The sequence below is a fragment of the Homo sapiens genome, chromosome 7 (assembly GCF_000001405.40).
Source record: "Homo sapiens chromosome 7, GRCh38.p14 Primary Assembly".
In the NCBI taxonomy this organism is placed as follows: domain Eukaryota; kingdom Metazoa; phylum Chordata; class Mammalia; order Primates; family Hominidae; genus Homo; species Homo sapiens.
Window position 1 is genome coordinate 117,593,223 of NC_000007.14, and position 25,354 is coordinate 117,618,576.

General features: G+C 36.0%; 1 protein-coding gene and 1 long non-coding RNA gene across 2 annotated transcripts in view, besides 15 other annotated features; one reads left to right on the top strand and one right to left on the bottom strand.

The window, feature by feature from the left end:
- Window positions 1-25,354, top strand: part of CFTR (CF transmembrane conductance regulator) — a 188,641-nt gene that overhangs the window by 113,198 nt on the left and 50,089 nt on the right. The window contains exons 15-21 of the mRNA NM_000492.4: window positions 1,708-1,836; window positions 9,604-9,641; window positions 10,310-10,560; window positions 13,452-13,531; window positions 17,297-17,447; window positions 18,359-18,586; window positions 21,391-21,491. Coding sequence (NP_000483.3) covers window positions 1,708-1,836; window positions 9,604-9,641; window positions 10,310-10,560; window positions 13,452-13,531; window positions 17,297-17,447; window positions 18,359-18,586; window positions 21,391-21,491 — 978 coding nt within the window. The remainder of the gene's footprint in view (window positions 1-1,707; window positions 1,837-9,603; window positions 9,642-10,309; window positions 10,561-13,451; window positions 13,532-17,296; window positions 17,448-18,358; window positions 18,587-21,390; window positions 21,492-25,354) is intronic.
- Window positions 11,569-25,354, bottom strand: part of CFTR-AS2 (CFTR antisense RNA 2) — a 42,625-nt gene continuing 28,839 nt past the window's right edge. The window contains exons 2-3 of the long non-coding RNA NR_199597.1: window positions 23,007-23,118; window positions 11,569-11,767 (exon numbers count right to left, since the gene is read on the bottom strand). This is a non-coding gene — a long non-coding RNA (CFTR antisense RNA 2). The remainder of the gene's footprint in view (window positions 11,768-23,006; window positions 23,119-25,354) is intronic.
- Window positions 13,825-15,003: a conserved region, noted in NCBI's record as "conserved_region; 16hom ROH (region of cross-species homology)". NCBI's record gives the evidence for it as "EXISTENCE:sequence alignment evidence [ECO:0000200][PMID:12782133, PMID:19782160]".
- Window positions 13,825-19,428: a biological region, named in NCBI's record as "DNase I hypersensitive sites in introns 16 and 17a of CFTR". NCBI's record gives its function as "regulatory_interactions: CFTR".
- Window positions 14,077-14,104: a protein binding site, noted in NCBI's record as "16homFP1PBX1 PBX1-binding probe". NCBI's record gives the evidence for it as "EXISTENCE:protein binding evidence [ECO:0000024][PMID:19782160]".
- Window positions 14,678-19,428: a silencer, noted in NCBI's record as "E4.5 fragment used in the pGL3B-245/E4.5 reporter construct". NCBI's record gives its function as "modestly represses a basal CFTR promoter in transfected MCF-7 cells" and the evidence as "EXISTENCE:reporter gene assay evidence [ECO:0000049][PMID:11856314]".
- Window positions 14,880-14,923: a protein binding site, noted in NCBI's record as "16homFP15HNF1 probe containing two HNF1-binding sites". NCBI's record gives the evidence for it as "EXISTENCE:protein binding evidence [ECO:0000024][PMID:19782160]".
- Window positions 15,931-16,931: a DNaseI hypersensitive site, noted in NCBI's record as "DHS16 or 3120 + 3 kb DHS; the nucleotide coordinates are approximate for this feature". NCBI's record gives the evidence for it as "EXISTENCE:in vivo cleavage assay evidence [ECO:0001075][PMID:10708521]".
- Window positions 16,516-16,544: a protein binding site, noted in NCBI's record as "16FP2CDX2 CDX2-binding probe". NCBI's record gives the evidence for it as "EXISTENCE:protein binding evidence [ECO:0000024][PMID:19782160]".
- Window positions 17,458-18,458: a DNaseI hypersensitive site, noted in NCBI's record as "DHS17a or 3271 + 0.7 kb DHS; the nucleotide coordinates are approximate for this feature". NCBI's record gives the evidence for it as "EXISTENCE:in vivo cleavage assay evidence [ECO:0001075][PMID:10708521]".
- Window positions 17,631-17,654: a protein binding site, noted in NCBI's record as "17aFP8HNF1 HNF1-binding probe". NCBI's record gives the evidence for it as "EXISTENCE:protein binding evidence [ECO:0000024][PMID:19782160]".
- Window positions 17,708-17,739: a protein binding site, noted in NCBI's record as "17aFP6CDX2 HNF1-binding probe". NCBI's record gives the evidence for it as "EXISTENCE:protein binding evidence [ECO:0000024][PMID:19782160]".
- Window positions 17,708-17,739: a protein binding site, noted in NCBI's record as "17aFP6CDX2 CDX2-binding probe". NCBI's record gives the evidence for it as "EXISTENCE:protein binding evidence [ECO:0000024][PMID:19782160]".
- Window positions 17,788-17,826: a protein binding site, noted in NCBI's record as "CArG box 10 SRF-binding probe". NCBI's record gives the evidence for it as "EXISTENCE:protein binding evidence [ECO:0000024][PMID:16170155]".
- Window positions 17,968-17,994: a protein binding site, noted in NCBI's record as "17a-FP2 HNF1-binding probe". NCBI's record gives the evidence for it as "EXISTENCE:protein binding evidence [ECO:0000024][PMID:14656222]".
- Window positions 18,166-18,197: a protein binding site, noted in NCBI's record as "17a-FP3 or 17aFP3FAC1 HNF1-binding probe". NCBI's record gives the evidence for it as "EXISTENCE:protein binding evidence [ECO:0000024][PMID:14656222, PMID:14656222]".
- Window positions 22,873-23,873: a DNaseI hypersensitive site, noted in NCBI's record as "DHS18a or 3600 + 1.6 kb DHS observed in HT29 colon adenocarcinoma cells; the nucleotide coordinates are approximate for this feature". NCBI's record gives the evidence for it as "EXISTENCE:in vivo cleavage assay evidence [ECO:0001075][PMID:19897727]".

The window sequence follows — 25,354 nt, forward strand, 5'->3', positions numbered from 1 at the left end:
TTAACATGTACTAGTGCCAATCTTCAGACAGAAATTTTGTTCTATTAGGTTTTAAGAATAAAAGCATTTTATTTTTAAAACAGGAAATAATATAAAAAGGAGAGTTTTTGTTGTTTTAGTAGAAAACTTAATGCCTTGGATGAAATGAGCCATGGGCAGGGTTGTAATGAATTGATATGTTTAATAGTATAGATCATTTGTGAATAATATGACCTTTGACAAGACACAAGCCATTAACATCTGTAGGCAGAAGTTTCCTTCTTTGTAAAATGAGGGAATAAAATAGATCCCTAAAGTGTGTAATTTTAGTATTTCTAAACTTTATGAAGGTTTCCTAAATGATAATTCATCTATATAGTGTTTTTTTGTGTGTTTGTTTGTTTGTTTGTTTGAGATGGAGTCTCGCTCTGTCACCTAGGCTGGAGTGCAATGGTGCAACCTCGGCTCACTGCAACCTCTGCCTCCTGGGTTCAAGCTAATCTCCTGCCTCAGCCTCCTGAGTAGCTGAGATTACAGGCATGCACCACCATGCCGAGCTAATTTTTGTATTTTTAGTAGAGAAGGGGTTTCATCATGTTGACCAGGCTGGTCTTGAACTCCTGACCTTGTGATCCACCCACCTCAGCCTCCCAAAGTGCTGGTATTACAGGCGTGTGCCACCACGTCCAGCCTGAGCCACTGCGCCCAGCCCATCTATATAGTTTAATATCAATCTAAATGAATTTCTCAGTCCTGAGCCTAAAAATTTAGTTGTAAAGAATGATATCCTTGACTAATAATAGTTTCTATTAATGGATTGCATCTAGTGCTAGGTGGCATATATTTAGTCCCCACAACTACCCTGGAAGGTATTTAAAATTTTTCACATTTGCAGATAAGGAAACTAAAGTTCAGAGTTCGGCAACATGCTTGAATTCAAGCAGCTCCTAGGATGTTAATGGTGGAGGTTGGGTTCAAATCCAGATCTGTCTGACTCAAAAAATGCATACTCCTAACCAGTGCACTATATCCCAATTCCATAGGAGCCCTTCTTTGTGATTCATAGCACTTTCCCATGAGTTTTGTTGATTTTGTGAGAAACAAAACTCTTTTTCCTTTGGACTGTCTGGAATCTCTCTTTTTCAAATTTTTGAAATGTATTTCTATGCCAAAAGACAAAGATTTCTAGAGGAATATGCCTAGGATGAGAATTATGTAATTTAAATCACAGCTGGAAAGAGAGAAAGTCCTAAGTTACTAAGAAATGTTCAAACACAAATGAGCTTTCAGTCTATTGGAAGACCTTTATAGCTAGAAGTATACTGAACTGTACTTGTCCATGGACCCCTGAAGAAACAGGTTAAATCAAAGAGAGTTCTGGGAAACTTCATTTAGATGGTATCATTCATTTGATAAAAGGTATGCCACTGTTAAGCCTTTAATGGTAAAATTGTCCAATAATAATACAGTTATATAATCAGTGATACATTTTTAGAATTTTGAAAAATTACGATGTTTCTCATTTTTAATAAAGCTGTGTTGCTCCAGTAGACATTATTCTGGCTATAGAATGACATCATACATGGCATTTATAATGATTTATATTTGTTAAAATACACTTAGATTCAAGTAATACTATTCTTTTATTTTCATATATTAAAAATAAAACCACAATGGTGGCATGAAACTGTACTGTCTTATTGTAATAGCCATAATTCTTTTATTCAGGAGTGCTTTTTTGATGATATGGAGAGCATACCAGCAGTGACTACATGGAACACATACCTTCGATATATTACTGTCCACAAGAGCTTAATTTTTGTGCTAATTTGGTGCTTAGTAATTTTTCTGGCAGAGGTAAGAATGTTCTATTGTAAAGTATTACTGGATTTAAAGTTAAATTAAGATAGTTTGGGGATGTATACATATATATGCACACACATAAATATGTATATATACACATGTATACATGTATAAGTATGCATATATACACACATATATCACTATATGTATATATGTATATATTACATATATTTGTGATTTTACAGTATATAATGGTATAGATTCATATAGTTCTTAGCTTCTGAAAAATCAACAAGTAGAACCACTACTGATATTTTATTATTTCATATTACATATAAAATATATTTAAATACAAATATAAGAAGAGTTTTTAATAGATTTTTAATAATAAAGGTTAAGAGATTCGAAAGCTCAAAGTAGAAGGCTTTTATTTGGATTGAAATTAAACAATTAGAATCACTGTTGATATTTTATTATTTCATATTACATATAAAATATATTTAAATATAAAGATAAGAGTTTTTAATAGATTTTATAATAAATGTTAAGAGATTAAAAAACTGAAAATAGAAGGCTTTTATTTGGATTGAAATTAAAGGCCAGGCATGGTGGTTCATGCCTGTAATCCCAGAATTTTAGGAGACTGAGTGGGGAGGATTGCTTGAGCCCAGGGGTCAAGACCAGCCTGGGCAACACAGTGAGACACCGTATCTACAAAATAATTAAAAAATTAGCTGGGCATGGTGGTGTGTGCCTGTATGCTACCATTAACTAAGGAGGCTGAGGTGGGAGAATCGCTTGAGCCTGGGAGGTCAAGGCTGCCCTGAACTGTGATTGTGCCATTGCATTCCAGCCTGGGTGCCAGAGAGAGACCCTATCTCTAAATAAATAAATAAGTAAATAAATAAACAGCAACAACAAAAACACTCAAAGCAAATCTGTACTAAATTTTGAATTCATTCTGAGAGGTGACAGCATGCTGGCAGTCCTGGCAGCCCTCGCTCACTCTCAGGGCCTCCTTGACCTTGACGCCCACTCTGGCTGTGCGTGAGGAGCCCTTCAGCCCTCCCCTGCACTGTGGGAGCCCCTTTCTGGGCTGGCCAAGGCCAGAGCCGGCTCCCTCAGCTTGCGGGGAGGTGTGGAGGGAGAGGCGCTGGGGGAACTGGGGCTGCGGGTGCCTTGTGGGCCAGCGCGAGTTCTGGGTGGGTGTGGGCTGGGCAGGCCCCGCACTCGGAGCAGCCGGCCGGCCCCGCGAGCCCCAGGCAGTGAGGGGCTTAGCACCTGGGCCAGCAGCTGCTGTACTCGATTTCTCACTGGGCCTTAGCTGCCTCCCTGCGGGGCAGGGCTCGGGACCTGCAGCCTGCCATGCCTGAGCCTCCCCCCAACCTGCCGCTGCAGTGGGCTCCTGCGTGGCCCAAGCCTCCTGACGAGCACCGCCCCCTGCTCCACGGCACCCAGTCCCATAGACCGCCCAAGGGCTGAGGAGTGTGGGTGCAGGGCGCAGGGCTGGCAGGCAGCTCCACCTGCAGCCCCAGTGCGGGATCCACTGGGTGAAGCCAGCTGGGCTTCTGAGTCTGGTGGGGACTTGGAGGATCTTTATGTCTAGCTAAGGGATTGTAAATACACCAATCAGCACTCTGTATCTAGCTCAAGGTTTGTAAACACACCAATCAGCACCCTGTGTCTAGCTCAGGGTTTGTGAATGCACCAATCAGCACTCTGTATCTAGTTAATCTGGTGGAGACTTGGAGAACCTTTATGTCTAGCTAAGGGATTGTAAATATACCAATGTGCACTCTGTATCTAGCTCAAGGTTTGTAAATACACCAATCAGCACTCTCTGTCTAGCTCAGGGTTTGTAAATACACCAATGGACACTTTGTATCTAGCTAATCTAGTGAGGAGGTGGAGAACTTTTGTGTCTAGCTCAGGGATTGTAAACGCACCAATCAGCACCCTGTCAAAACGGACCAATCAGCTCTCTGTAAAACCAATCTGCTGTCTGTAAAATGGACCAATCAGCAGGATGTGGGTGGGGCCAGATAAGAGAATAAAAGCAGGCTGCCTGAGCCAGAAGTGGCAACCTGCTGGGGTCTGTAGAAGCTTTGTTCTTTTGTTCTTTGCAATAAATTTTGCTACTGCTCACTTTTTGGGTCCGCATTGCGTTTATGAGCTGTGACACTCACTGGGAAGGTCTGCAGCTTCACTCCTGAAGCCAGCGAGATCACGAACCCACCAGAAGAAAGAAACTCCTAACACATCCGAACATCAGAAGGAACAAACTCAGGACACGCGGCCTTTAAGAACTATAACACTCACTGCAAGGGTCCTTGGCTTCATTCTCGAAGTCAGTGAGACCAAGAACCCACCAATTCCGGACACAATTTGACTGCAGAAAATGGATGTCCAACCCTGTGGTTTCCCTGGGCCACATTGGAAGAAGAAAGGAGTTGTCTTGGGCCACACATAAAATACACTTACTATAGCAGATGAGCTAAAGAAAAGAAAAAAGTCCATGCGTAATCTTTGTGATATGTGCCACCACCAATAAGCAAAATTGTTCTCTTATTCAAAAGGTTGGACACAGCTGCTCTAGATATTTTATTATTAAATATGCAGGCAATTACTGTTTAAATGAAGATTTCCTCACAGAATGAGATTAAAAGTATATATTAGTGGCTTAGCATTCATTTTAGACAACCATTTTAGAGATTCAAATCACACACTTGCTTACAGAAATTTTGTTGTCTTCAATGTCCCCATTGTGGTTTCTTTACCAAGCCTCTACTGTTCTTCACATCACCAAGTTAAAAAAAAAAAAGGGGCGGGGGGGCAGAATGAAAATTGCATGGTAGGCCACAAGTTCAGATCCTCATCGACACAAGAGGTGCCTGAAGCAGTGGATGAGGCTTTTCTATGGATCATGAGCAGCCACATAAATGCTTAAAAGGGCCTGGCAGGGAGCATCAGTGGGTGATGTGGCTGGGAGGCTGAATGGAGAGCATTTGTTCTTCAGTTATCTATAGAAGGCAGCTGTCACTCAGCACCAGCTAAGGGCTTCCCATGAGGGAACTGGGGATCAGGTTTCCCAGATCTTTTTATGTAACAGGATAAGACAGAGATCCAGCTTTTTTTGGGTAATTATTTCCTATTTTAAAATACGGGTAGTTGATTAAATAAAAACAAACGAATGAACACCATATGGGCACAACAAAACACATCTGTGGCTTGGATTCAGCTTGTGAATGATTACTGCAGATATTTATTCTAGAGGACACCCCTGGGTATGTCCTAATATAAAACCTAAATCTAAACTCAAGTCCCATGCTACCTTCAGAGAATAAATGACCCAGAAAAAGAACCACCTCTCCTAAGGAAGTATAAATTTGTAAATAACTGAGACCCAAACTTACAACTATACATTTTTCTTATTGTTGGGCTGTTGCTAACCTCAATTAAGAAGGCTTGATGATATTTGTAAAGTGTCATCACTCCACCATGGTCCAGTAACATCTGATCACTCCACCATGGTCCAGTAACATCTGAATGGTCAAGAAATATCTAAACGTATGTACCAAAAATTTGTGTATACTACTGTACCAATAAACCATTTGTTTCCATTTGATCTCTGAGTGTGGTAATACATGTTATTTGCCCTGCTGTTGTAAATAAACAAACCAAATGGAGGCTTGATGCAAGATGCAGTGTAGCATAGTGCCAACTCTGGACTCCGACTACTCAGGGTGTAAATTCTAACTCTGTTCTATTAACACCATGAAACTGAGCAAGTTAGTTAAAACTCGCTGGGCCCATTTTCTCATTTATACAATGGAGATTTTAATAGTACAGCTACATAGGCCATTTTGTGGTTTAAAATACATCATGATTATGAAACACTTAATGTAGGGCTTGCTACATAATGAGCAAGGTTTGTTGCTGTTATCATTAATATCCTTAATTCTCATTATTATAAAACTTGAGATAGTATGAGGTGAACAAGTTCATAACAGCAATATAATGAAAATTTTAATAATTCCTTTTATACTTTAACAAAAATACGAGATTGGGTAATTTATTATTTTTACATGAGTAATAAATATTGCATTAAAATATATTTAAAATTTACCACATTAATGTCTGCCAGTCATGCCAAATGACCAACATGAATGTGAATAAAACTCAGTCTGTGCCCATTTAATCTTAACCAACCCTTTATAATTGTTAATGATTTGAACCTCTGCCTTGAAAGATCACATTACTTGATTGTCTTCAACTTATCTGAATGTGGTAGTGATTTCTGTAAATTTATAGGACCTTTGTCTCATGCAGCTCCATGGAGTTGAACTTATGCACCTTTAAAATGGTATATACTTAATTAATTAAGTGTTGATCTGCTTCACATGTGTATAATATTATTAGCTCACTAAACCAAGAAAACAGTGGTCCTTTAGGGAAAGAAACTAAATTACAACAGAGAATATAAATACCATATAAATATCTATTATTTATTGAACTGTCACAATTATTGCAAAAAATTACCTTTTAGTGGACAAAACAATTGATATTGCCCTTTTCTGGAAAAGAAATAATGTAATATATGATGAATAGTTTTGGCCAGTATCCTCTAGACCTTGCCAGTTAACTGGCTCTCAAAATTTTGAATAATAAAAACTTGGTGATAGTAGAAAAATAGTAATTTTTTAAAAGTATGTGCACAATTATACAACTAAACAATTCATTCACCAGTGTTCACAATTCTATTGCCTTCTTTGAATCAAAATTTACATAGTTTTTCTTTTAGACTAAGCTCCTTTATGATACCAGTGTGCCCATTTCTCATTACCATTGAAATGTCTCATGAGCATGTCACATTCTGGTACAACTGCTAATCCAGGATGACAGTTTAGTTCTTTTAAATCCAATTGAGAGCCTTCTACTCATGACCAGAGAACCTAAAGAAAGGTTAAGATACATTTATTCCTTGGTGTAAGTGATTTGTCTATTTTTAGTTTTCCTAAGGGTCATATTTCAATTTAGATTTTTTTTTATAGGTTAGGTAAAATAGGCTTCCCTTTTGCAATATGAAATATGTAGTCTTTTAAAAAATTTCTTCAAAGCTATTAAACTGAAAAAAAATTAATTTGGTCTATTCAGTTTGTTAGCACTTACCATTTTGGAAAGAGAGTGACTCTACTTTTGTATTTGGTAACATTTTCCCTACTACAGGGCAGTATCTTTTGTAAGTTCTTAGATATTAGCACCAAATAAATAGGCAAAAAAAATCTATTATGTTAATTCTTAGAACCCCTGCTTGGCAGTGCATCATTGACTAGATGGAGAAGAAATGAAAATAATACATTAGGAAGCAGTTTCCTGGTTCTTTTGAAAACAACTAGAGAGTCTTGTTGTTGACTGGAATATCTGAAGATCCTGTTTAATGCTTTCATTCTATGATTGTTAAGAATATGTCATAGAACTGCTGTATCCTGTTTCTTTATGTCTTCCCTTCTGTTTGTTGATTAGAAATCCCTGAGTGGCTTTACATTATTAGTACAGTAGATATGTAGTATATTCCCATAATACCACTGCTGCTATTGACTAATAGTAATAATTTTAGGGCAGCTTTATGACAGTTGGTTTATGTTTTAGGGTGTCATTTGACTTGTGAAGCATTGAAATCTGGGTATTAAGCACACTGTTTTCTATGTGGTATGGAATGATTCTTAAAGCCCTGAGAAAATGGAAAATAAAAATATTTTTCCTTTTTACCATAATCACCTATGACTGTCACTCTATCATAAACTGCATAAACTTTATAACCTCAAAACATTTTGGAAATGAAATGACAGAACTTGCTTACTCAATTGCTTCTATATACACCAAATATTTTTTTAAAGTATTATGTTAAGTCCTTGAAAATATTTTGTTCTACTCAATAGAAGCAGTTTAGGTTGGTAGTTCTATGTGGAAACCGTGAGGAAATAATTTTATATTATGATGACTAGACCAGTCTTTGAACATCACTTTGGTTATTGTTCCATTAGTAAATATTATAATTATTTCTGAGATTTACTCACCTTCAAAGAATGTTGGCAATGCCAGCATTATTAACACTCCTCTAGTTAGAACAAAGAGGAAATGTAATAACAAAACATAATAATAGCCAAATAAAGAGTGACTTAGAATGTACACCCTTATCTAGGATCCTGAGTAATTCGATTATTCTTAGGAAATACACTTTTGTGCTAGAACAAAGACTTTTGAAATAGCTAATTTCTGGGTTTCTTTTCATTTTGAATTAACTTGAATTTCAAGGAAACAAGGGTAGTTTTTACAGATACAGTGCATAGAAGCTCTGTGTACAATGAAGAAAAGTAGGAAAGTGAGAAAAATGCCATTAGATTTTTCATCGTTATACTATCTGATATGTGAATTTAACTAAAACTTATATACCTCATTATAGTACTTCCTAATGTAATTTCTTAATTTAAGTGTTCCCCATAAGGTTTTTTTTTATATAAACTTAAGTACTGTTAAATATTTAAGGCAAATTCAGGTATAAAATAAGACTTGTTGATATCTTATTCCAAGCATATTTGTTTCTCTCCTATTTATTTTTATTCTGTGTTCATTTCCAAAATTGTTTTACTCACAACTGTTTGTTTTTTCTGTTTCATTCTGTGGTAAAGGTATCATTTGGCTAATTGTATAATTTCAGTGTCATTTCTAATATTCCAATTGTGATAGTATCAACACAAGATTAAATTTCTCTACATGGTTTATGAGAATGGAATGCCAAATTGAAATAGAACAGAGCACAGATGATCTAAATATAAAAAGAACTACAAAAATCACAGTTGTTTAAAAAGGTTTTTTGTTTGTTTATATATGGTGCAGAACATTTGTTCCTTAGCCAAATGTTTCCACCTTGAGAAAGCTATAGAGATTCTATGTAGTCCTAGTACCAATAATATGTTTTAACCTGAATGTACCTTATCTTTATTCATAAACTGTGACTTTTTACACTGCTGAAACTTTTTTTTTTAAGACAATCTCACTCTGTCGTCCAGTCTGGAGTGCAGCAGTGGTGTGATCTTGGCTCACTGCAACCTCTACCTTCTGTGTTCAAGCAATTCTGGTGCCTCGGCCACCTGAGTAGTTGGGATCACAGGTGTACACCACCAGGCCTGGCTAATAGTTTTTGATATTTCTAGTAGAGATGAGTTTTGCCACATTGGCCAGGCTGGCCTGAAACTCCTGGCCTCAAGTGATCTGCCTGCCTTGGCCTCCCAAAGTGTTGGTATTACAAGTGTGAGCCACTGTGCCTGGCCTGAAACTCATAATTCATTTCCATTAATATTAATCTCACCTTTTCCAATAATTAATTGATTTCACAAGTATTAGTCCCCTATAATCATTGAATGGCTAATAAAATTATTTATAGCAAACAGATTAATTATCTGCCAGCAGTCTGAGATTAGTTTCTTTAAAAAATGTTTATTATTTAAAACATTCAGCTGTGATCTTGGCTTTCTTGTGAGGTTCAATAGTTTCTATTGAGTAAAGGAGAGAAATGGCAGAGAATTTACTTCAGTGAAATTTGAATTCCATTAACTTAATGTGGTCTCATCACAAATAATAGTACTTAGAACACCTAGTACAGCTGCTGGACCCAGGAACACAAAGCAAAGGAAGATGAAATTGTGTGTACCTTGATATTGGTACACACATCAAATGGTGTGATGTGAATTTAGATGTGGGCATGGGAGGAATAGGTGAAGATGTTAGAAAAAAAATCAACTGTGTCTTGTTCCATTCCAGGTGGCTGCTTCTTTGGTTGTGCTGTGGCTCCTTGGAAAGTGAGTATTCCATGTCCTATTGTGTAGATTGTGTTTTATTTCTGTTGATTAAATATTGTAATCCACTATGTTTGTATGTATTGTAATCCACTTTGTTTCATTTCTCCCAAGCATTATGGTAGTGGAAAGATAAGGTTTTTTGTTTAAATGATGACCATTAGTTGGGTGAGGTGACACATTCCTGTAGTCCTAGCTCCTCCACAGGCTGACGCAGGAGGATCACTTGAGCCCAGGAGTTCAGGGCTGTAGTGTTGTATCATTGTGAGTAGCCACCGCACTCCAGCCTGGACAATATAGTGAGATCCTATATCTAAAATAAAATAAAATAAAATGAATAAATTGTGAGCATGTGCAGCTCCTGCAGTTTCTAAAGAATATAGTTCTGTTCAGTTTCTGTGAAACACAATAAAAATATTTGAAATAACATTACATATTTAGGGTTTTCTTCAAATTTTTTAATTTAATAAAGAACAACTCAATCTCTATCAATAGTGAGAAAACATATCTATTTTCTTGCAATAATAGTATGATTTTGAGGTTAAGGGTGCATGCTCTTCTAATGCAAAATATTGTATTTATTTAGACTCAAGTTTAGTTCCATTTACATGTATTGGAAATTCAGTAAGTAACTTTGGCTGCCAAATAACGATTTCCTATTTGCTTTACAGCACTCCTCTTCAAGACAAAGGGAATAGTACTCATAGTAGAAATAACAGCTATGCAGTGATTATCACCAGCACCAGTTCGTATTATGTGTTTTACATTTACGTGGGAGTAGCCGACACTTTGCTTGCTATGGGATTCTTCAGAGGTCTACCACTGGTGCATACTCTAATCACAGTGTCGAAAATTTTACACCACAAAATGTTACATTCTGTTCTTCAAGCACCTATGTCAACCCTCAACACGTTGAAAGCAGGTACTTTACTAGGTCTAAGAAATGAAACTGCTGATCCACCATCAATAGGGCCTGTGGTTTTGTTGGTTTTCTAATGGCAGTGCTGGCTTTTGCACAGAGGCATGTGCCCTTTGTTGAACCTCCATTTGACTGGCATGCACATGTCTCAGATATTATAGGTTATCATATATTGTTGCTCCTAATATTTCTGTGTTAGATAATTAGAGTAGCTTGGTTTGTAAGAATGTGATGTTGGTGGGACTGTAGCAGAACAAGAAGGCCCTTATGGGTCAGTCATACCTCTCTTTTCAAATATTTGGTCTAGCTCTCTTCTGGGCATCTTGTTGCCAATATATAGTATTGCTCAAAAGGGCAGGAGATTTGAAGTGATCAAGGAAAATATATTTTTTCTATTGATTAAGTCTTTTGATGGGGTAGAATAATCTAATTTCATGTAACTGCTCAAAGTTATATGGTAGGGGGATCCCAAATGTATTTTAAAACTATTTTTATATCATCATATTTGAAGTAATAGAAAGTCAGAGTAGCAGAATAAAGGTACTAAAAATTTTAAAAACTAATAAGGTACTTTGAAAGAAATCAATTATGTTGATTCCTCATTAAACAAATTTGCACTTAAAGACTGAGGTTAATAAGGATTTCCCCAAGTTTTTTCATAGCAACCTGTGAGCACTTTCTCTGTTGAGGCATTTATGGTATGAAAAGATGAGTAAGGCACAGTTCTTGCCCTGGAGAAGGTCACAGGTGAGAGGAGGAGTTGACACAGAAACATTTGATATAAAGCAAGGAATAAATTCCAAGACTAAAATTTTCAGAAATCTAAAAAACTCAAGATAAGAAAAACCCATTATATTTTCTGGGTAACAAAATTTCAGTGTTATTAACATGTAGGAAGATCTTGATATTTATTCTGAAGCCCATGTGTGTTGCTGAAATATTGCCGCATTTGCATATACTCATCACCATCCTCTGTTTTGGAGCTAAGAATTTTAGACTCAAGATGTCTAATTAAGTTGATCCATTGATTTTATTTTTTATGGAAATCTGAGACCCACAGAAGGCAGGGGATTTGCCCACATTTCTAGAAGAGTCAGACATGAGCGATGAGGCACAGTGGAAAGAACATGAGCATTGCCTGAGCTCTGAGTTGGCGCTATAAGAGCAGTGATCATGGGCAAGTGACTCTTCTGAGCCTTGGCCTCCTCACCTGTTAAGTGAAGAAAAGAATATTTCAGAAGATCTTTGTGAGAATGAAACAAGGCAATTTACTTGCCTGCTACATAGCCAATGGGAAATCAATATAAGTTCCCCGTGGTTCCCTTCTGTGGGGTTTTGTTCCCACAGAGGGTGCACTGGCCATTCCACTTCTTCTTTTCCAAGCTCCTCATTCCCTTTAACGCTGTTCATAGTTGGTTCCAAACCATTTGAAATATAATAAGCACCAGGATGGTTTTTTCTTTCCACCAAAGCAAATTTCATTTTCTAAACACTGTTTATAAATATCAATGGCTATTTTTTCAATTTTTGATTATCATGAAAATATACAAATATGTTTAATTAAATATGCTAAAGAATGTATTAATAAATATGTATTAAATAATTCCTACATATAAGGCCTTTTTGCTTGGGGTATGGGTGATACAAAATAAATGTGGCATGAACCCACTGACCTCTAGCAATTTATAACCTAGAAAAAGAGTTATGATATGTTTATAAGTTCCTGTGATATAAGACATGCATATAGTCATTATAACAGAGGTGCAAACAAGATGTATCAAGTATGTCCAGAGGAGGAAGAGATTAATCCCAGCTGGAGGAAACACTGATGCTTTCTTGCAGCAGGGGCATTTGAGTTGAGAAAGGGAGGAAACATAGATTTTGACAATGAGAGCTGAGGGGAAAGGGGTTTCAGGTGGAGGGAACCGCATGTGGAAAGCAGGGAGGTAGGAAAGTGTAGAGTGTGTTTAAAGAATAGACCAGTTTGGCTGAAACAGGATATTTGAGCAGAGGAAGCTTGTACTAGGTAGGTGGGTTGAGGCCAAATTATGCAAGGCATTAAATATTAAACTAGGAATTTTGGACTTTATCCTGCAGTTTATGGGGGGTAAATGATAAGATTCAATATCACTTTATTTGTACAGTATTATGTTACATTTTATCTAATTGTTTGTTTAATTCCTGTCTAGACAATGAATTCCTCAAGGGCAAGGAGCATGGCTTATTCACCTCAGTAATTTCAGTGCCTAGCATTGTGCCTGGTACAAAGTGGACACTTGTATATAACCTTTTTTAATTGAAGCAACAAGTTGTCAACCTTACAAATGTGAATCCGTGATTCAGATGACAGGTTGAAATGTAGATTGTCTGCGAAGAGGGCAGAAAGAGAGTATGACAAAGGAGGACAAGACAGTGGGGCAGGCAGGGAGAGAGAGCAGCCAGGGTTTCGGTAGAGGTATGTCAAAAAGGTATGGAAGTCAGAGGAGAAGGAGACCCCTATGTTATAGAATACAAATGGAAGGGAAATGATGACAACAGTAAGTTGTCATTAAATGCAAGGTTGCAAAAGTAAGATTGTAAAGCAGGATGAGTACCCACCTATTCCTGACATAATTTATAGTAAAAGCTATTTCAGAGAAATTGGTCGTTACTTGAATCTTACAAGAATCTGAAACTTTTAAAAAGGTTTAAAAGTAAAAGACAATAACTTGAACACATAATTATTTAGAATGTTTGGAAAGAAACAAAAATTTCTAAGTCTATCTGATTCTATTTGCTAATTCTTATTTGGGTTCTGAATGCGTCTACTGTGATCCAAACTTAGTATTGAATATATTGATATATCTTTAAAAAATTAGTGTTTTTTGAGGAATTTGTCATCTTGTATATTATAGGTGGGATTCTTAATAGATTCTCCAAAGATATAGCAATTTTGGATGACCTTCTGCCTCTTACCATATTTGACTTCATCCAGGTATGTAAAAATAAGTACCGTTAAGTATGTCTGTATTATTAAAAAAACAATAACAAAAGCAAATGTGATTTTGTTTTCATTTTTTATTTGATTGAGGGTTGAAGTCCTGTCTATTGCATTAATTTTGTAATTATCCAAAGCCTTCAAAATAGACATAAGTTTAGTAAATTCAATAATAAGTCAGAACTGCTTACCTGGCCCAAACCTGAGGCAATCCCACATTTAGATGTAATAGCTGTCTACTTGGGAGTGATTTGAGAGGCACAAAGGACCATCTTTCCCAAAATCACTGGCCACAAAGTGTGACATTTTGGCATTGGCATCACTATTTGATGGAAGCCAACCTCCCCCCAAAAGGCCTGTATTAGAATGAAGATGGATTCCCTGGGTGGGTTACACTTGAAACTAGCCTCACCCATGAACACTTTGGCACAGATTAGCTAGCCCATTCCCCCACAGTAAGGACCATAAGGAAGGGACAGAAGCAAAGATAAGTTTTAGAACAAAAGAGAGGGGAAAGAAAAAATCTAGGGTTTTATGAGGGCTGTCCCTGAGTGATAGATGTGAATAGGCCTCCAGGGCAGGCTGGCTCAGAGGCTGACTCTTTGGGTTGGGGTGACTGATTGGTGGTGAGGATGGAGAAGAAAAGGGGAGTGGAGGAGGTGAAAGTGACCTTGGGACATTAGGTCTCCATAAGTGACAGGATTTAAGGAGTGTTGTAAGCTGTGGTTGTTGGACCAGGTTTAAGCACAGCTTCCTGAGCTTCCTGACTGGTTTAGGTCAAGCTCCAGAGAGCAAATGCCACAGTCTCAGTGATCTCCTTGGAGAAACAGTTGGAATAGGATGTTGCCCATGTTGGGATGAGTCATTGTCCGCTCTTGCTCTTTCCCTACCCCTGCAAAATAATAATACTGTATTTGATTGAACATATAAAACAAAAGAAGGATTATCACATAAGTATGTATATATAACCAACATTGGCAGGTGCAGAAAAACCAGACTGTCAGTTTGCCTCATCTGAAATGATTGACACAAACAAATATATTTACTGTCCCAAGTGAACTTTGGCATTTTGGATATCCTTCAGTTGTTCTGTTTAAAGATATAACTTAGAAGCAGCTGATGGAATATTTAAATCCATGCGTTGAATTCATGCATTCAAAGAAACATGTCCTGAGTCACTAAATGCTGACATTTGTTTTTCATGTTAAGAGTGTAAATAACTGGTCCCAAATATAATATTATTACATCAGATAAAAACTGGAATGTGAACCTCTTAACTTGATTGTGAAAGTATTTGCCAATGGTGCCTCTTGATAATTATTTGAGGCTCACTTCAGAACTCCTCTGGAAGGGTTAATTTTTAAATAGTCATTTTATAAATTAACATTTTTGACATATGTGATGGCTCTCAAATTTTTTCTTTTATGCCAGTTTGAATCATTTCTGCTCAATTTTTTTTTTTAATTGGGATGGAGTCTCACTCTGTTGCCCAGGCTGGAGTGCAGTGATGCAATCTTGGCTGACTGCAACCTCCACCTCCTCGGTTCAAGCGATTCTCTCGCATCAGCCTCCAGAGTAGCTGGGATTACAGGCGCGCACCACCATGCCTGGATAATTTTTGTATTATTACTAGAGATGGGGTTTCACCACGTTGGCCAGGCTGGTCTTGAACTCCTGAACTCCTGACCTCAAGTGATCCACCTGCCTCAGCCTCTTAAAGAGCTGGAATTATAGGTGTGAGCCACTGCACCAGGCCCTGTTCAACTTTTAATGCTAAGATTCATTTGTTGTTGTTTCACAAGTGATTAGGCAGAGGTCTTTTATATTAATTTACCCATTTTATTTGTAAGAGAGTCTCATATTAAGGAAGCATAATATATGACAATCCAAATACAGTACAAATTTGGTTAATTTTGATTTTGTTAAATAATTAATCACAGGGGTCCTTCAAATTGTGAGCTCCTCTGGTTATACTTATGTTTTACCTCTGGTTATACTTAATTTCAAACAAATGAAATTTCATTCTATTCATGATATTTCAGAAGCAGATCTGTTGCACAAAATAAAGCATACCTATAAATTTTCTTTTTTTAAAAAAAAGTCTCTGTTCACTCTATTTTCTATTATTTTTCTCTTTTTAAAATTTGAATTTTATTGTGGCAAGTCCACTTAACATGAGATTTACCCTCTTAACAGATTTTTATGTGTAAAATACAATATTGTTCACCATGGGTAAATGTTGCACAGCAGATCTCTGGAACTTATTCATTTTGCACTACTGAAATTTTATACCTGTTGATTAGTATCTCCCCATTTCCCTCTCTCCCCTGTCCTGTTACCCATGGTTCTGTTCTTTGCTTCTTTGAGTTTGAGTATTTTGATACCTCATGTAATCTTCATTCTATTTTCTAACTTTGACAATGTTCTGACAAATTTGCTTTCCGGATTGGAGCACTGTATAGTGAAAATTGAAAATCTTGGTTATTTTCTACAGATTCCCACTATTTTACCTTGAGCAGACACTTATCTTGAAGGGTCTCAGATTTGTCACTTGTAGAATGGGGAATATAAACCTGATAATGGTCCCTTTCAGTTCTAAAGTTATATCAGTTGAAAATACATGTGTCACTTATGGTAACGGGTAGAGAACTGGCTCACTGAACAGCATATGGATATTATAAAGTGGTTTTTTTTAATCCTTTCTGCAGACAGTTACTTTATACTTTATTCAAATGGATTATTGTGAAGTACATGTTAGCGGACTTTGTACCTTTTAAAAATGTATGTATTTGGTGTAATGTAGAAATATAGAAATTTATTAAGTATGATTTATTTCAATGTTAAGCATGAGAAAATATGCTCCGAAAGGTTAGATAGCTTGCCTAAATGACAAGCTTGTATTTCAAGCAGAACTTTCTGAATCAAAAGACTCCAAGACGAATGCCCAGCTTTCAAAAACTGTCTAACCAAAATAAATCCTAAGATTCACCTTCATACTAAAATTATTTAAAAATAGTTTATTTTAAATTAATATTCACTTAAAATGTATTTATCATGCAATACTTTAAAGTGTCTGGGAAATGAAAATATCCAAAGATCAAAGAACACCATGTTTTCAAACTTCAAAAATGTTATCAGTGACCTAAACAATTTTTAAAATTTTCATAGAGCCTATGAAAAATGTACTTGCAAATGGCTACTTTCTGACTAGGAATAGAATGGGGAGAGTATTTAGTCCAACAATGATAGACTGGATTAAGAAAATGTGGCACATATACACCATGGAACACTATGCAGCCATAAAAAATGATGAGTTCATGTCCTTTGTAGGGACATGGATGAAATTGGAAAACATCATTCTCAGTAAACTATCGCAAGAACAAAAAACCAAACACCGCATATTCTCACTCATAGGTGGGAATTGAACAATGAGATCACATGGACACAGGAAGGGGAATATCACACTCTGGGGACTGTTGTGGGGTGGGGGGAGGGGGGAGGGATAGCACTGGGAGATATACCTAATGCTAGATGACGAGTTAGTGGGTGCAGTGCACCAGCATGGCACATGTATACATATGTAACTAACCTGCACAATGTGCACATGTACCCTAAAACTTAAAGTATAATAAAAAAAATAAAAAAAAGTTTGAGGTGTTTAAAGTATGCAAAAAAAAAAAAAGAAATAAATCACTGACACACTTTGTCCACTTTGCAATGTGAAAATGTTTACTCACCAACATGTTTTCTTTGATCTTACAGTTGTTATTAATTGTGATTGGAGCTATAGCAGTTGTCGCAGTTTTACAACCCTACATCTTTGTTGCAACAGTGCCAGTGATAGTGGCTTTTATTATGTTGAGAGCATATTTCCTCCAAACCTCACAGCAACTCAAACAACTGGAATCTGAAGGTATGACAGTGAATGTGCGATACTCATCTTGTAAAAAAGCTATAAGAGCTATTTGAGATTCTTTATTGTTAATCTACTTAAAAAAAATTCTGCTTTTAAACTTTTACATCATATAACAATAATTTTTTTCTACATGCATGTGTATATAAAAGGAAACTATATTACAAAGTACACATGGATTTTTTTTCTTAATTAATGACCATGTGACTTCATTTTGGTTTTAAAATAGGTATATAGAATCTTACCACAGTTGGTGTACAGGACATTCATTTATAATAAACTTATATCAGTCAAATTAAACAAGGATAGTGCTGCTATTACTAAAGGTTTCTCTGGGTTCCCAAATGATACTTGACCAAATTTGTCCCTTTGGCTTGTTGTCTTCAGACACCCTTTCTTCATGTGTTGGAGCTGCCATTTCGTGTGCCCCCAAACTCTACTTGAGCTGTTAGGGAATCACATTTTGCAGTGACAGCCTTAGTGTGGGTGCATTTTCAGGCAATACTTTTTCAGTATATTTCTGCTTTGTAGATTATTAGCTAAATCAAGTCACATAAACTTCCTTAATTTAGATACTTGAAAAAATTGTCTTAAAAGAAAATTTTTTTAGTAAGAATTAATTTAGAATTAGCCAGAAAACTCCCAGTGGTAGCCAAGAAAGAGGAATAAATATTGGTGGTAATTTTTTAAGTTCCCATCTCTGGTAGCCAAGTAAAAAAAGAGGGTAACTCATTAATAAAATAACAAATCATATCTATTCAAAGAATGGCACCAGTGTGAAAAAAAGCTTTTTAACCAATGACATTTGTGATATGATTATTCTAATTTAGTCTTTTTCAGGTACAAGATATTATGAAATTACATTTTGTGTTTATGTTATTTGCAATGTTTTCTATGGAAATATTTCACAGGCAGGAGTCCAATTTTCACTCATCTTGTTACAAGCTTAAAAGGACTATGGACACTTCGTGCCTTCGGACGGCAGCCTTACTTTGAAACTCTGTTCCACAAAGCTCTGAATTTACATACTGCCAACTGGTTCTTGTACCTGTCAACACTGCGCTGGTTCCAAATGAGAATAGAAATGATTTTTGTCATCTTCTTCATTGCTGTTACCTTCATTTCCATTTTAACAACAGGTACTATGAACTCATTAACTTTAGCTAAGCATTTAAGTAAAAAATTTTCAATGAATAAAATGCTGCATTCTATAGGTTATCAATTTTTGATATCTTTAGAGTTTAGTAATTAACAAATTTGTTGGTTTATTATTGAACAAGTGATTTCTTTGAATTTCCATTGTTTTATTGTTAAACAAATAATTTCCTTGAAATCGGATATATATATATATATGTATATATATATATATATATATATATATATACATATATATATATAGTATTATCCCTGTTTTCACAGTTTTAAAAACCGATGCACACAGATTGTCAGATAGCAATTCTGTGATTGAAGGGGAAATATGTCACCTCTTCATACTCATATTGGTGAAGGGTCCTAGCTTCAAAATTAATAGATTCCTAAAGAGGGGAAATGAAACATCCGCATTTACACACACACACACACACACACACACAGAGTTCCTCTTGTCGGTAAGTTTTGTTTTTTTTAAATCTCTACTAGATAAAATTTGTTATCTAATTGTGAGTTTTACACAAAGAAAAACTGTCACAGAAAAGAAAGACAGTGTCACATTTTTCAAAAGAAAAAGAAGAAAAGAAAGTGCCATGTTTTTCAAATACAAATGTTCTGGATTGATTTTAGGATCTTTAGTGAAAAACAAAGTATTTCATAATAAGTAAAATAAAAATCTATGTAGGTAAATTTGTTTCTCTAATTTAAGAATTTGAATTTCTGAGTATTTATGATAAGTGTTGAAATAACTTCTTATATGTGACAGTGAATACTGGCAGAGCAAATGCCAAATCAATGCCAAATCTGTAGGATCATTTGATTGTAGGAACAGAATTCTACTCAAACCGAAAGCAGGCATTTGCTGGAGTTACAGAAAGGCCTCATGGAACACCGAGAAGGTGGTGCCATTCGACTCTTAAAGAAGCTGCAACAGGCACAAGAGAGTCAGCTGCAGCTCTTCTTCTTGAGTCTATATCTGTCCTGGGTCCATTCCTTTTTGTGGTTGCTTCATTCCTTTCTCTCTCTGAAGACTGGTTTTTCTGGTCTACCAGGGCTATGCCACATTGACTTTATGTAGTGTCTCCATTCTGGCCTCCTGAATTTACAGGAGAGTTCCTCTGTACAAACTCAAAGTCCTGGAGAGAACAGAAAACAGCTTCCTTTTGGCTCAGGGGTCCAACTGCAGTCTACTCTGCTGCTATGAGGATAGTGGGTTCACCACCTTTGTTGTTCTCTCAGCTAGGGCAGTGGGAAATGACTCTATGAAAGGAATATACATGGGCAGGCAAATGTACTAATCCTCATCAGTACTGTAATTTTAAGCAACTTTAAAAAATTCTTTTAAGTTATTTGAAAATAAGATCAAAGAAGGCTGAATTACATAAATGAAGATTTGTTAACAATTAATTCAAACCAATATAACACATGCTATAACATGGTTGAGTGTGATTGAGTCTTGATTTATTAGGGGCAATAATCAAAACATTTAACAATCATTATAGTACAGAACTTACCAATCAAATCAGATGCTCAGCCGGAGTGGATGTTGGCCACCCAGCTATTATTATCCCTGGCTCAATTGGTCTTCAGCTGTGTTAACTTGCAAACATTAATTAACTATCTAAGCCCCTCATTTTCCTCAAGTGTAAATAGACACAATAATATTACCTATTCCATAGGTGTGGGGTGAATAGTAAATGTAATAATTTGTCCAAAACACTTAGTATAGTGCCTGGTCCATGGTAAATACTAAATAAATGTTATCTGACTTATTATTAAAATTTTATCTTCTCAGCTTAACCTTCAGAACAGTAATATATTGGGGTCTAGATAAATCTTGCCTATATGAAAATAATTTAATACTACATGCAGATATATGCTGTGTATATTATGCCTTCTGTTAGAGGAATTGCAGAAACAAAAATTTCAATTAATAATAAGATGAATTATTTCTCCCAATTGTAGAATCTTTTGACAATTTTATCATGCATTACAGATGTAAGAACTCTTGATTGGGACTTGATAGTCTAACTTTATAATAATTTAAGAACATTCCTCTTAGAGAATTTCTATGGCCATAATACTGAACACATGAATTTTAATTAGCTGTCCTCTTTAGCCCTAAAAAAAAAATTACTGTAATTTAACACTTAAGTGTTGTTCTTCCCAGGTACAGTAATCTTTTTTTTTTTTTTTTTTTTTTTTTGCATAGAGGGTAATCTTTTCTCTTTCCAAATGGCAGAACTGTTAGTTTTCTGACTGTCCGGTGAAATTCTAAGTCCACTTACTTCCCAATAGCATGCAATTAGCAAAGGTCCTCCTTGCAAAGGCACAGAACACACCTAAACATCTTGCAGATGCTGTTTGGACACTCTTCCCCTGCTTTTGGTCTCTTTGTAAAGCAGCTCATCTGGATACAGGATCTCTTTTCCCCATTGCCCATTCTAATATATGTTACCGTTATTACTTATAGAATAATAGTAGAAGAGACAAATATGGTACCTACCCATTACCAACAACACCTCCAATACCAGTAACATTTTTTAAAAAGGGCAACACTTTCCTAATATTCAATCGCTCTTTGATTTAAAATCCTGGTTGAATACTTACTATATGCAGAGCATTATTCTATTAGTAGATGCTGTGATGAACTGAGATTTAAAAATTGTTAAAATTAGCATAAAATTGAAATGTAAATTTAATGTGATATGTGCCCTAGGAGAAGTGTGAATAAAGTCGTTCACAGAAGAGAGAAATAACATGAGGTTCATTTACGTCTTTTGTGCATCTATAGGAGAAGGAGAAGGAAGAGTTGGTATTATCCTGACTTTAGCCATGAATATCATGAGTACATTGCAGTGGGCTGTAAACTCCAGCATAGATGTGGATAGCTTGGTAAGTCTTATCATCTTTTTAACTTTTATGAAAAAAATTCAGACAAGTAACAAAGTATGAGTAATAGCATGAGGAAGAACTATATACCGTATATTGAGCTTAAGAAATAAAACATTACAGATAAATTGAGGGTCACTGTGTATCTGTCATTAAATCCTTATCTCTTCTTTCCTTCTCATAGATAGCCACTATGAAGATCTAATACTGCAGTGAGCATTCTTTCACCTGTTTCCTTATTCAGGATTTTCTAGGAGAAATACCTAGGGGTTGTATTGCTGGGTCATAGGATTCACCCATGCTTAACTGAGTGGTGCCAAATTGTCCTCAAGTCTGTTGTACTGATATATATCCCCATCAAGAGAGTACAAGAATTCTCATAGCTATGTATCTTCAACAACACTTGGTGTCTGGTAGATGTGAAGTGATTACTAAAAATATAGGGAAGCTGCATACATAATTATTGGCTTTTGCTGTTCTCTTACATTAATTTCTTATTCATGTTGATTACTCATTTGTCACCTAGTTTTTTCTTCCTTAATTAAATTGTAGGAATTTATGAATTATGGATTGATCATCAGCTCTATACATTTCAAACATAATCCCTCAGTCAGTGGCTTGGCTTATAGAGTCTTTTGATGAAAAGAAGCTTTTAAGTTTAATAAAGTTCAATTTATTGTCTTTTCCTTTATGTTTTGTGCTTTTGGTATCTTGATTAAGAACTCCTTCCTTATATTGGGTTCTCAAATTTAGCAGCATAACATTTTCATACTATTATTTAAATTTTTTTCACATTATTTAGTGATAGCACCTTTCTTATTCCTAAAGTGTTTATCATTGCCTTCTGTCTTTCTGCTTGATAAATATTGCCACACATTTGTATACTTTATTAGTGTGTACAAAGACCACATTTTAGTTGTGTTATTTCTCTTGTTTTGGTTTTCTAGAATGCAGAGCCATTAATATTATAGTAATGCTTATGTGCTAATACCATATCAGGGGCACAAATCCCATTGCAGCGGGACTGAGAAATTAAAGGAAATGATGCACATTTACTCATTTTTGTTTAAAAAATCAAATGCATATTTTTCAATCAGACTATATGGTTGGTCTGGATAGCTTCATCATTGAATTTTTAAAGTATTTTTGTACTACTGTATTTAAAATTATTCATTCACCACTGCTTTTGTAGATGGTTTAGAAACCCAAGTTAGGAATGACTGTGCAACACTATTATTATACTCTTTTTAAAATTATACTTTTTGCTTAAGTTTCTTTCCTTGTTCTCTGAGACAGTGTTCATGTTCCCAAACCACACACATTTATTCAGCTATAAAATTTGTATGATCAACTCCTGTCAGAACAAACATCATTATAAAAAATATCTCCAGGAAAAAGAAAACCCTTTTAATGCTCTCTTCTGGTTCATGTGTCTTCTTATTTTCTTTAAGCATTTTCATAACCCATTGAGCTGTAATTTAATTGGAACATGATTTATACTAAAGTTGGTTTCTTTACCTTTAACTTTTTTTTTTAGTTTGATCAGCTCTCTTTAGCTTCTGTAGTTCGGTCTTTAATTCCATTCCAGTATGCTTTTGGAGTTGGGTCTCATAAATGTATAGAAATGTTTCTGTTGGGAAACAGCAGGAGAATATTAAATAAATATTGTGCTTACATCTATTTAATTCTTTGCCCAACTTTCTACAACTTTGACTTTACATTTAAGCTCCTCATGCACTTACATGTTTCTTTACCTAAAAATATCTTTTCACCATGGGTGTGTACAATTCCTTTGTCCTTGCTGTATTAATTTTCTTGGTTTACATAGTAGCCTCTACACATTGATGTCAAAACCTCTGTTTGGTGCATTTCTACTCTGCGTGTTCAATCTCCATGAAAGTTTCTGTAAGGTATTTTCATTCCTCTAGTTTTTCACATGTGCATCCTGGCTTTGTGACCTGTGCTTTGATATCGTGCCTTTCATCTTGTGGCATTGAAGGATCTTTGCAAGGACCTATTGTGTTATAATACAGTCTATGAAAAATATCAATATTTGCATTTGATCACATTTAAAAAAATCACATTCTTTTGTTTGAATATCAAAGCTAATATGTGAGTGATTTCCCTGCCAAATAGCACAAGTAGCCTTTCCTGGGTGTTTATGGGCATTTATCTGGTTAATGATTCCCATCATAGTGCTGTCACCCATGCCATTGCTAAACTTATACAGTAACTTTTTTGTTTTCACCTCAGCATATGTTGAGAGTAGGAAATAGATAGGACTATGCCCTCAAATTTTACGTTTATATGATGTTAATCCTAAAGGTCCTTGTGACTTCTGAAGTAAAAACTCAGTGTTGTCATTTTACTTACTGAATTGTTAGCTGAGTTTAGAGTTGAGTTTACAATGGAGTAAACAAGGTGTTTAGTTTGATGTATGCTTTTAGTCTTTCAGAAAAAAATGTTTATACTTGGAAAGAATAGTTTATTTACCCATCTGGCCTAGTTTAGACAAAAACACAGAGTCAAATGTCAACAGAATTCTGAAGTTATAAAAATGACAGTGTGGCTTTTTTTTTTTTTAACCTTCCACCTGGTGCTTATGCCCAAGTGCCTAGCTTTCTTTAGCTCTCAACTAATAAAGGTAATGTTTAGATAACATTTAACGTTAAGTTGCATTGTGTTTATGATCACATATCTCAAATATTGGTACACGAAACTGTACAACAACCTTTTTTATTAGATTTTCCTACGAAATTCCTTATTATATTCCCTAAGATAGCTTTTTCCCACCTTCTTCTTCCTTCTCCCTTCTCAGGTGCTCCAATAATTCCAACCCCTGCAGCCAGTGACTTTATTATATCTTTTTTTAAAAATCTAAAAAAAAAAATTGATGCAACCAGGAAGAATTTTCTCATTTCTCTCCACCAGTTGTACCAGCCTACTGCACCTCTCCTCATGCACCACCTTCTGCCTGTGTTCTTGCTCCTATATTCAGGAGCAAGTAATATGCAATACCTCCCTCTTTGTGGGATCTTTCTCATTAGCATAAAAATACTTTCCCTTGATCTCCAGCTACTACCCCATTTCTTTGACCTACATATAGCAAAATATTTGAGAAAGGACCACTTTCCATCTTTTCCTCAATCTACTTCCATTTTTTTCTCAATCCACTTTCATTTCATTGTTCTCCTCAACCCATTCTTTCCACAACCTACTTCATTTTATTTCCATCAGCCCCATAACTCAGGATCAACATCTTGCCAGAGCCAATTTCCTTGTCTCCCTTAACAGCTCCAGCAGTATTTATGCCATGGACAAATTATTCTTCTTGTGATACTTTCTCTCTTGCTTCCATGACACTACTCCCACTTCATTTTCTTTCTACCTCTCTGGCTCTTCCTTGGTCCCTTTTCCTGGCCCCTTCTCTCTTTCAGATCTCTAAACATCAGCTATATCTCAGCCCTGTTCTACTGACACTCTCTAGCTGTTATTTTCTAAACCCATGTTTCAGAAACCATATCTTGATGAATCTTGGAAGGCCGAGGCAGGCGAATTACTTGAGGTCGGGAGTTTGAGACCAGCCTGGCCAACGTGGTGAAACCCCATCTCTCCTAAAAATACAAAAATTACCTGGCCGTGGTGGCATGCACCCAGCTACTTGAGAGGCTGAGGCACAAGAATCGCTTGAACCTGGGAGGTGGAGGTTTCAGTGAGCCGAGATCCTGCCACTGCACTCCAGCCTGAGCAATAGAGGAGACTCCGTCTCACACACACACACACACACACACACACAAAGAAAATAAACCATCTCTTGATGAATCATAAATTTGTGTCTCTAGTTTAGACCTCTATCCTGCTCTCTA